We start from the raw sequence: 12,000 nt of genomic DNA, 5'->3' as shown, positions 1-12,000 counted from the left end.
TGTAATCCCAGCACTTTGGGAGGCCGAGGTGGGTGGATCACTTGAGGTCAGGAGGTCGAGACCAGCCTGACCAATGTGGGGAAACCCTGTCTCTATTAAAAATACAAAATTAGCCACGTGTGGTGGTGGGTGCCTGTAATCCCAGCTACTTGGGATTACAGGCAGAGGCAGGAGAATGCTTGAACCAGGGAGGTGGAGGTTGCAGTGAGCCGAGATGGTGCCATTGCACTCCAGTGTGACAGAGTGAGACTCTGTCTTAAAAAAAAAAAAAAAATCCTAAGGCCCCTAAGAATTATGCTAAATCTATTCTGCCTGTTTTCTGTAAGTGGAACAACAAAGCCTGGATGACAGCACCCCTGTTTACAGCATTATTTACTCAATATTTTAAACCCATTCTTGAGAATTACTGCTCAGAAAAAAGATTCCTTTGAAAATATTACTGCTCATTGGCAATGCACCTGGTCACCTGTGAGCTCTGATGGGCTTGTATAAGAATATGTATTAATATTGTTTTCATGTCTGCTAACACATCATCCATTCTGCAGTCCATGGGTCAAGGAGTCATTTCGACTTTCGAGTCTTATCATTTAAGAAATATACTTTGTAAGGTATAGCTGCCATAGATAATGATTCCTCTGATGGATCTGGGCAAAGTAAATTGAAAAACTTCTGGAAAGAACTCATCATTCTAGATACCATTAAGAACATTCGTGATTCATGGGAGGAGGTCAGTATATCAATATTAATAGGAATTTGGAAGAAGTTGATTCCAGTCCTCCTGGATGACGTTGAAGAGTTCAAGACTTCAGTGGTGGAAGTAGCTGCAGATGTGGAAATAGCAAGGTAACTAGAATGAGAAATGAAGCTTGAAGAAGTAATTGAATTGCTGCAATCTCATTATAAAACTTTAACAGATGAGGAGTTGCTTCTTGATGATAAACAAAGAAAGCGGTTCCTTGAGATGAAATCTATTCCTGGTGGGGAGGCTGTGAACATTGTTGAAATGACAATAAAGGATTTAGAATATTACATACACTTAGTTGATTAAAGCAGTGGCAGCATTTGAGAGGATTGACTCCGATTTTGAAAGTAGTTTTGCTGTGGGTAAATGTTATCAAATAGCATCACCTGTGACAGAAATCCTTCATTAAAGGGAAAATCCACTGATGCCACAGACTTCACTGTCTTTAAGAAATTGCCACAGCCACCTCAACCTTCTGCAACCACCACCCTGATCAGTCAGCAGCCATCAACATTAAGCAAGACCCTCCACCAGCAAAAAGACTCACCGAATGCGCAGATGATTGTTACCACTTTTTAGCAATAAAGTATTTGTTAGTTAACGTAAATCCATTTTTTTAGACATAATGCTATTTCACACTTAATAGACTACAGTATCATGTAAACATAACTGTATATGAATTAGGAAACAAAAAAATTTGTGTGACTCGCTTTATTGTGGTATTTGCTTTATTTCAGTTGTCTGGAATTAAACCCACCGTATCTCCAGGGTATGCCTGTATATGAAATGTTGAAATCTTGGCCCTCGCATGACTTCTTTCATATTCAATAAATGTACCCCCAATTAAATATGATGCCTATCTTCCAATCTGTGCCTTCACTAATCCTAGAGAGATGGAGATAATCACTGGAGGGCTGGCGGCTGCAGGGGTCACCTGAGGCAAGGGATGGGAGATGGCACGGGGAACTTTGCGTGATCTCTGCAAGTTCTGCCGTCTTGGAGACAATTGGATGGTTTTTTACCTTATGGCTTTCAGATTCTAAGCTCTCAAAAAGTTATTGCTTGACAGTCACATTTAGAAAATTTACGTATATCCTTAAGTCTGAATATTCTAATTAGTTTTTTCAGTCTAGTGGAATTATTAGAGGATAGCAAGTTTGAATTGCTGACAATGCATACTCGGTAAGCACCAAGTTATTTTCAGAAACATATGAACGTTGCAAAACATTTGCATTTTTTTCTTGGGCCTGTAAAACTTGGTATTATGCCTACTCAGTCTGTAAGCATACTTTACTTATCTGTATGCTCATTTGTTCAACACATTTATTGAGTGCCTACTATATCCCAGGTACTATGCTACATGGTGGGGACACAGTGGTGAAACACATGCTGTCTTTTTTGCCGTAGCCTTTACATTTTAGCGAGGGATGCCAAATAATCTTGTCTACCAATGCTAAATTAATAAGTCCTGTTATTTACCTAGAGTACAGCAGGGGGCAGATGAAGCCCATCTTTCAAAATCATTTGTGGTAGCTCAGCATATCTGATGTAGCTGATTGTAATTGTTACTTAGTCCAGCTTTCAAAGGAAACTAGGATCTGGTTTTGCATTTATGCTCATTCATTATCTCATTTTAGGTATCCCTGGGATCAAATCTGGGGAAAAACAATGAACTGCAGGTACATTTCATCTTTCAGAGTAAATATTTTTCTGAAACAGTTGCTAGGAGAGGTTGCTAAATAAAATAATTCTACTCTGTTTTTTTTTTTTTTTTTTTTTTTTGAGACAGGATCTCACTCCATCACCCAGGTTGGAGTGTAGTGGCGCAATCTCAGCTCACTGCAACCTCTGCCTCCCAGGTTCAAATGATTCTCCAGCCTCAGCCTCCTGAGTAGCTGGGACTACAGGTGTTTTATATTTTTTAGTAGAGATGGGGATTTCACCATGTTGGCCAGGCTTGTCTTGAACTCCTGACCTCAAGTGATCTGCCCGCCTCAGTTTCCCAAAGTGCTGGGATTACAGGTGTGAGCCACCGCAGCCTGGCCTACTCTGATTCTTTTCAAAAATAAAGACTATTAAATTGGTTTAATATTAATTTAATACTTTACATAAGTCTAAATTTTTATTTAGGTGTTCGCTTAAATTGAACTGCAGCCACATTTTTATTGTTGCTAAGAGTATGGATAAAGAAACCATCATTCTCATTAGCAAATCTTTCGTCTGTTTCAGCAATAAGAGCCCCCCCCAATACATTCTCAGACTTTGAGTGAATAAGGGGAAATTTTCAGAAACAGAGAGAAAGTAAAGGTGTGTGTGTGTGTGTGTGTGTGTGTGTGTGTGTTTTATATATTGTTATGTCCACAAGAATTTTGTCTGCGTGATGTTTGAAGGGGCAGGAGAGAGGAAGGTCCTGGGGATGCTGGTCTTGCATTTTGGGCAGAGACCTCAGAAGAATATTTCTAATTTTGGACTTTTTAATGCTATGTTAGATTTGCTGGGTGCTTTAAAGCAGTATTTATTTGAGGTATGAAGCTAGATGTTTGAATTTCTTTTGTGAAGGAAAATCTGAGCTAGAGAGAGAAGTCACCTAAGCAAACACCTTTTGTTAACCAGTGTCCTGCTGGGTCTTTTTTTAATCTAAGGTTTCCCTGGCCCTGCTGTTCTATTACTCTCTTAGAAACAATCACAAGAAAACTGTGCTTACTCTCTCAGATTATGACGTCGTAGGGAGCTAGTGGATGAGTACATGTGGAAGGTGAGGTTAAATCAATTTCTAGTGGATCTGGGATCCAGTCACATCTTGTTATTCTATCAAATTATTTATCTTCCCCACTACCTAGTCAGTTCTGTGGAACAGGGTCATTTTTCTTTTGCTCACCATTGACTTTCCTATGTCCATTATGTTTTCCATATACCAGTGCTTTAAGATCATAAATAACAGCCCTCCCATTGACCTCATTAAAAAAGTCTAGAGAGATTAAGAAACATGGATAACACCCGGCACGATTTATTTGGTAATTGTGTTTGAGTAGTGTGTGTGTGTGTGTGTGTGTGTGTGTGTGAGAGAGAGAGAGAGAGCGAGAGAGATTTCCGAGAGTTTTCCAATCATCTGTTCCTGATCCACCTATGAATGCGTTGAAATGAGGAGGTACCAAGTAGGAATAGCTAAGGGACTCTTTGGAATGCCTTCTAACTTGACCATCTAACATTGCAGATTGTTTGAATTAAAAGGCCCCTACCTTGCCCCAGCCATCAAATTCAATATTCCTGAAGGGAAGTCACCCATATTTTATTGGAACAGCCACTAAATCTTGAGGCAACTACTCCCTTATTACACAAGTCTCGTTTCTTTTTCTTTTTGGGGACAAAGGAGAGATGTTTTTTTTTGAGACTGACTTTCGCTCTTGTTGCCCAGGCTGGAGTGCAATGGCGCGATCTCCGCTCACTGAAACCTCCGCCTCCCCAGTTCAATTGATTCTCCTGCCTCAGCCTCCTGAGCAGCTGAGATTACAGGCATGTGCCACCACGCTTAGCTAATTTTTTTTTTTTTTTTTAGACGGAGTCTAGCTCTGTCGCCCAGGCTGGAGTGCAGTGGTGCAATCTAGGCTCACTGCAAGCTCTGCCTCCTGGGTTCACACCATTCTCCTGCCTTAGCCTCCGGAGTAGCTGGGACTACAGGTGCCTGCCACCACGCCCAGCTAATTTTTTGTATTTTTAGCAGAGACGGGGTTTCACTGTGTTAGACAGGATAGTCTCGATCTCCTGACCTCGTGATCCGCCTGCCTCAGCCACCCAAAGTGCTGGGATTTTAGGCGTGAGCCACCGCGCCCGGCAGATTTTTGTATTTTAGTAGAGACGAAGTTTCTCTATGTTGGCCAGGCTGGTCTCCAACTCCTGATCTCAGGTGATCTGCCTGAGATCAGTGACTTAAATAAATTTAGTGACTCGGCCTCCCAAAGCGCTGGGATTACAGGCGTGAGCCACTGCGCCCGGCCAAGGGGGAGATGTTTTAAAACTATTTCAGAAGTCAGAAAATAGTGTAATGACATTCATATGCCCACTGTCTAATAATTAATAAGTACTAATGTTTTGTCCTTTCAGCCTCAGCTACGCATCGCTGGGAAATAATTATTCATGGGTCTCCTACCGTTTTGTGCATCTGTGAGCGAAATACCGACTGTCCCTTATCCTGGACTATCTTTTCAAGGTTGTTAGTGTAGTAAATAACTTTGGAAGATGGAGACAGTGTTTCTCTTCAGAGTAAAGGGTAGGTTTGCTTACAACCTTGGAAGATAACAGTGTCTCTTTCTGGAGTGAAGAGTAGTTATGCTTCATGCTTATTATGAAACAGTCAGATTCCTAAGCTCAGGATGCCTCTCCTGTAATCCATCCTTCTGTGTGTGCAGGTGTCAGCTGTCTCTCTTCACATCGGCCTGGGGAGATAGGGCTTAGGAAATTGGTGCACAGATGCTGATATCTGACTACTGCTATTGCTGTGAGTAATAAATAGTCTTTTGTCTCTGATTTAGGAGTGTCGTGTCAGTATCCATGAAACAGTAGCGGGCTATTATTTAAACTATCCTAGGCCACAGGAAAATATGAAAAAAGCTCCAAATTTATTTTATAAAGCTAGAATAATTAATACTAAAGCATGATAAAGATAGAAAAAACTAGGCAACTTCATCTACAAATACAGAAGCAAAAATTCTAAGCAAAAATTAGTCAATAAATCCTATAGAAAATTGTAAAAATAATACATAGAAATTGAATCAAGTTTATTTTAGGTGTGTAAAGATAGTTTAAAATTAGAATATTTATCAGCAAAATATATCTACTAGGTTAACAGATGAAAAGAGAAAATAACTATTATAACAGTAAATTATAAAAGGCATTTCATAAAACTTAAAAATTACTAATAAAAACTTCATGTAAAATAGGAGAATAAAACTTTTTAAACATAATAATAACTATAGCAAGCTATGAAATACTGAAGCCATTTTAAAATCAGGAACAAGGGATTGCCTGCTATTACCATTATTATTATTCTTTTTTGGAGATGGAGTCTTGTTTTGTCGGCCAGGCTGGAGTGCAGTGGCACAATCTGGGCTTGCTGCAGCCTCCACCTCCTGGGTTCAAGCGATTCTCCTGCCTCAGCCTCCTGAGTAGCTGGGACTACAGGTGTGTACCACCACGCCCAGCTAATTTTTATATTTTTAGTAGAGACAGGGTTTTGCCATGTTGGCCAGGCTGGTCTCGAACTCTTGATCTCAGGTGATCTGACCGCCTCGGCCTCCCAAAGTACTGGGATTATAGGTGTGAGCCACGGTGCCCACCCTTGTTACCATTATTTAGTATTGTTTTGGAAGTTTTAAATAATGCAATAGTACAATGTGTAAAATATTGGAGAAAAACAAAATAAATTATCTCTTTTTTTTTTTTTTGCAGAAAATATAAACATAATTCAGTTACTTAGATAATCTGTTAGAACTTAGTGACTTAAATAACTTACCAGGATGGAGAGGAGAATTAAGATGGCTGAATACGAGAAACATAAAAAATCAATAGCTTTTCTCTAAATGAGCATGTCCAGTTAGAAATGAAAATAAGAAAAAATTTTATTCTTGATAGAAACAAAAACTACAAAATACTCAGGAGTGAGTCCAATAAGATGAGTAAAAGACATACTTGAAAAAAAACATAAAATTGTGTTAAAAGACATAAGACAAAATCGAATAAATGAAGAAATAGACACTAAATTTATAATGTAAGATTTAATTTACAGTGCCAATTCTTGTTTATAATCCATATTAATATACAAATATAATTAAATTTAATTGGAATAAAAATGATTATTTTCAGTGAGTGGAGAGGAATAGACAAAAAGATGTTAAAGATGATATGGAAGAACAAGTGTCTGAGAAGAGTTAAGAGTGGTGACTTGCTTTACCAGGTAGTTAAATTTAAAACTAAGCTACAGGATTCAGACAGTAAGGAACTGGTGCTAAAATAGACCAGTGGAGAGAAGAAGAGAGTCTAGGAGTAGAGTGAATGAACATAAAAACATAATGAATGACAAAGGTAACATATTCAATTCAGTGGGAAAAGGATACTTTAAAAGACAAATTGTACTACCATACATGGGTAGGCCTTTAGACAAAAATAAAACCCTCCTAATTCAGATCCCATTCAAAAATAAATTCCAGGTGGATTAAAAATATGAATATAGGGCATGGTGGCTCATGCCTGTAATCCCAGCACTTTGGGAGGCCAAGGCAGGTGGATTGCTTGAGGCCCAAAGTTCGAGACCAGCCTAGCCAATATGGTGAAGCCCCGTCTCTACTAAAAATACAAAAAGTAGCCAGGTGTGGTGGCCTTGTAGTCCCTTGAGGCAGGAGAATCCCTTGAACCCAGGAGGCAGAGTTTGCAGTGAGCCGAGATTGCGCCACTGCACTCTAGCCTGGGTAACAGAGTGAGACTCCATTTTGGGAAAAAAAAAAATTAAAAATAGCATATTAGAAAAAGTTTATTAATAAAAGGAGTTTCCATGTTTCCCATCCTTTCTACCCCAAGAGTTTCACATGAAACTGTAAGTCAAGAATGAGCGCCCCACAAGCAGCCTAAGTACTTCATGGGCTCTTTAGGTTCCCAAGGCCCTGGGGAAGCCAGTCATAGAAAGGCAGTATGATGACACATAAAAATCAGGGACTTGAGACAGACAGACATGGGTCAGAATCTCAGTCTGACTCCATAACAGCTGTGGGGCATTGGACAAGCTATTTAGTTTCTGTAAACTTCAGTTTTCTCTTCAGTGAAATAGTACAATAACTCTTGGAGGTCTTCAAAGGATCAAATTCACTGCTGTGAATTTGTGAAAGGGCCTAGCTCACTGCCTGAGACATGTCAGGTATTCAATAAATGCTTATTTCCTTCCATCATTTTTAATTTCTGAGGACTTGCAAAAGAATTAAATTTCGGATGTTTGTGAAAGCTTTCATTATAGCAATATTCACTCTCTGTAACTAGGAAGAAAACTGATATAGAGATACTCATTTTAATTCTTTTGGTTCATGCTTCTTCCAGAAACCTGAGAACTTTCAACACTGGCAAACCAAATGGATGATTCTGCCTTGTACAGAAGAAAATCAATAAACATTAGCTCTTCTGAGGCAGACAAATTACAGAAACCGCAAGTCCCACAGTGTTTCATAATTTTATGACAAATACCATCTGAGTTACTTACAGCTCTGGATGAGAAATCTACTCTTACCAGGATCCCAGTGATTATGCCCAAAGTTGGCCATGTCTCCTTCTCTTAGTTATATTGCTTTGTGCCTATGATTTGTTTGCGTTTTGGCCTACTGTGAGCTTGGCCATCTCTTGGTTTGATGGGTTTCCCAGCCCTTCAAGTCAGCCAATCTCTGCAGAGGGTCCTGGGAGGCTGCCTCCAACACTGGGCACCAACTGTTGGCCCTCAGCTCCAGCAATAACATGCCAGGCTGACGCTTTATTTCTTTGGAACTTTTTCCTGGTTTCTGGCTCAACCTCCTCTGCTCATCCAAGAGAAGTATCTTTGAAATCCTCAGAGAATGACCACTCCCACCATCAGCCTTGGGATTCAGTTTGCCCTGGGCCAGAGGGGGGCCCTCATATTTACTCCTGCCTCCGATGAGTACATGTGCCTCAGCCCTTGTGGGTGTCTTTTTCTTCTCCTTGTAGATAAGATTGTACCTGTTAATAAGAGATTGTATCTTGTTTTCCCAGTGTTTTAATGAGAGATTATTTGAGTGTAAGGAACAGATACTCCAACCCCCATTCCAACCCCAGCCTAAGCAAAGGATTTCTTCTACAACTTCAAGGGAAAATCTCTCAGACTTCCAAAGACAAGACACAAAGTACAGTCAGACTGGAAATGCGACTGGAATGTTGGGAACTGAGATCTCCTCTCCAATTCCAAGGCTCAGATGATCTCGCTCATCTCTGTCTCTCTGTGTCCTCTCTCTTTGGTTGCTTCTAGTGTAATGGACCAATATGGCTGTCCCAACCATGACTCTACATAATGTTTCTGTTCAATCACCTACTTTCATCTCATGATTTATTATTTCTGTGACAGTTCAAATACTGGAAGAGTCTGGTTGGCAGTTTGTCAGCCAATAGATGAACAGATTTGAGTTAGGTGTCAACCTCAAATCCAATCATTTTTGACTGGAGGGCAGGGGCAGGTAATTGGCATTGGCTGTGAGCCAGGGCAGGTCAGCTACCCAGGAACTACTTAGGTCTCATCCCTGGTCCTTTACATTTAGATCAAGCCTGATAGTTGAAAAGACACATTCACACACTCTGTTATTTACTTGCTTGCTGAATTCATTTGTTCATTTAACATTTCTTGAGCACGTCCTATATCAAGTCCTGGAACAGGTATCACTGCACTAGGCCCCATGTCTAAATATGTGTGTGTTGTCCCCAAGGCAATTTTATTAATGGCAGGGGTGCAGGTTTAACAAGTAAGCGGGGATGTGATGTAAGTGCAGTGAAGGAGAAAGTTGAGCTTCTGTGGACAGATAGAGAGGGATATAACTTGGGCTTGGGAGTAAGGGGAATGAGTCAGGCTTGATCATCTTTACATATCCCAGAAGTCAGGAGGTTGGCAAGGCAGGTAAAAGTGTCAACTGATTTGAGAGATGAGATAACGCAGGCTCAGAGGGGTTAAGTGATTTGCCTAGCACCACACTGCACTGGAACAAGGACTGGGGTCCAGATCCTCAGACTCCTGGTCCAGTGCTCACTCCTTTCACTTGAGGTACTGTCCTACCCACTCACCCCCCATTCTGCCCCAGGTCTGCTTTCACGGTGTACTGGGTAGGCCTTATCATATGAGTGGGTGCTGGGAGACTTGGCTTGGTCACTGCCTTGGCACCCACTGTGGGCACACATTCTAGGCAGATCCTAAAGCTTTCAAGGCTAGGGTCTTGGGGCAGGATGGGAAAGGGGAGGAGGATGAGAAAGAAGAGAAGTTGGGGATTTTGTCCCCATTTTTTCCTGGGAAGGGGTGACTGGGGCTCAGAAGTCTAGCTCCTGTGACAGGGCACATCTCATTCACAGGCACCATGGGCGGGAGAGTAGGGGAGACCTCAGGCAGACCCCCACCATGCCTCTAACAGGCTGCTGAGGTGGAACTGGCCGCACTGGAAATCCCTGCCCAGAGGAGGCCCAGCCATGCAGACCCTGCCAGATGGCTGTGTCCCAGCAGGCCACAGGGCTATCCCTGGGAGGTGATATGGATTTGGCCTAGAGAAAGGTGTTGGGAGGAAGTCAGGGCAGGTGGAAGTTTCATCATCCTTTCCCTTCATCCATCCACTTCCTTTACAGTTGGTTTCCCTCCTGACCCACATCTCTCTTTTCTGTTGCCAAATAGGTGAAGACCATGTCACACGGACAGTGGTCACAGGGAGTCACATGGAGGTTTTAGAGAGTTCATCCACACCACTTCCTGTTAAATGCACTTTCCTTAGACTCAGCTCCCCACATTTCTTGCTCTTGCCTTATTCCTCTTGAAGGGTGAGATTATCTGGGTCTGATATGGTTTGGCTGTGTCACCCAAATCTCACCTTGAACTTTAATAATCCCCACATGTCAAGGGCAGGGCCAGGTGGAGATAATGGAATCATGGGTGTGGCTTCCCCCATACTGTTCTTGTGGTAGTGAATAAGTCTCATGAGATCTGATAGTTATATAAGTGGGAGTTCCCCTGCACAAGCTCTCTTGCCTGCCTCCTTGTAAGACGTGACTTTGCTCCTTCACTGTCTGCCACATTGTGAAGCCTCCCCAGTCATGGGAACTGTGAGTCAATTAAACCTCTTTTCTTTATAAATTACCCAGTCTTGGGTATGTCTTTATTGGCAGCATGAAAACGGACTAATACAGGGTCTGTTTCTGTTATGATAGAAATATAGATAATTCTTTTTACCGTAAGAAAACCAGCATTATGGACATGATCAATAGTAGCTGATGCTGGACCTCCACGCTGAGTAGGCCACAGGACTGGTGCGACCCAAAGAAGACACAGCCCTGGAGGGGCCAACCATTTCTCAGTGCCCACCTCTGACTACCTCGGAGGCCTGGAATCACTAGCTCTTTCTATTTTTTAAGAGACACTGGAAATGTGAATTAGAAAAATTCAGTACAAAATTAATACAACATTTCTAAGAAACATAGGATGAAACAAACAAAACAGGATTTGGCTTGAAGATAAGTCAGTTTGTAAGTTCTGATCTACCTGTTCTTCTTTTAAAAAATCTCTTCCAGGCACTTCACCTTTGGCTTTTCTTCCTCAAACCCTATAACCCTAGTCTAACCAGGAGACAACATGAGACAAACCCAAATTGAGGGACATTCTACAAAATATCTGACTAGTATCCTTCAAAATTGTGAAGGTCATGATAAATGAGGAAAAACTAAAAAACTATCACAGCTCAGAGGAAATGAAAGAGACATGTTGACTAAATTCAATGTGGGATCCTGGATGAGATCCTGGAACATTAGTGGAAAAATTGATGAAATCTGAATCACGTCTGCAGTTTAATTGATGGTACTGTACCAATGTTCATTTCTTAGTTTTGACAAATGTAGCATAGTAATGAAAGATGTTAACACTAGTGGGAACTGGGTCAAAGGCATATGGGAACTCTCTGTACTATATTTGCAACTTTTCTGTACTTCTCAAATTATTCCAAAACAGAAAGTTTATTGAGAAGAAAAAGTCCCTTCCTAGCCTGAGATAACCTTTGGTTGTTATGGTTCTGAAAATGAAGCTAGGTTTCCAACGTCAAAACAAGTGCGATCTCATTGGTATCTTTCCTTCAACCTGTGAATATCCATAGCAGTGATCTATCAACTCTTTTGGTTCAAATGGTACCAAAGACTCTTATAATGGGCCTGTGGGCCCTCAGGTTCAGGCAGCTTTGGTCTCTCCCTTCCTATCAGTAAAGGATGGTCAATTTCTTGGCCTCACACACTACTACCCTCCCACTCTGACTGCCCTATGGGTTGCTGGAGTGAGTTTGAAATTCACAGAGTTAGGTGATGACATTGTGCCTAAGGATATGGTGGTTTGACCTGTTAGGCTGTGCAGCTGGATCATTTTCTAAGTGGCCTCAGGCTTTGTGTGGCAGGATCTGAGAAGAACCTCCTCTTTTCTAGGAAAACATTCCCAGTGTCAGGAAAATTTATGAGGCAGAAAGGGCTGAAGTGAGCTGTCAGAG

At 41.3% G+C, this 12,000-nt stretch overlaps 1 long non-coding RNA gene across 1 annotated transcript; it reads left to right on the top strand.

The window, feature by feature from the left end:
• Positions 4,848 to 7,958, top strand: LOC105374467 (uncharacterized). The gene is made up of 3 exons (XR_939973.1): positions 4,848 to 5,009; positions 5,149 to 5,237; positions 7,823 to 7,958. It is a non-coding gene; the product is annotated as an uncharacterized LOC105374467 (long non-coding RNA).
• The last annotated feature ends 4,042 nt before the right edge of the window (positions 7,959 to 12,000 follow it).

The sequence above is a fragment of the Homo sapiens genome, chromosome 2 (genome assembly GCF_000001405.40).
Source record: "Homo sapiens chromosome 2, GRCh38.p14 Primary Assembly".
Classification (NCBI taxonomy): domain Eukaryota; kingdom Metazoa; phylum Chordata; class Mammalia; order Primates; family Hominidae; genus Homo; species Homo sapiens.
This window is presented reverse-complemented; position numbering and strand designations above follow the sequence as displayed.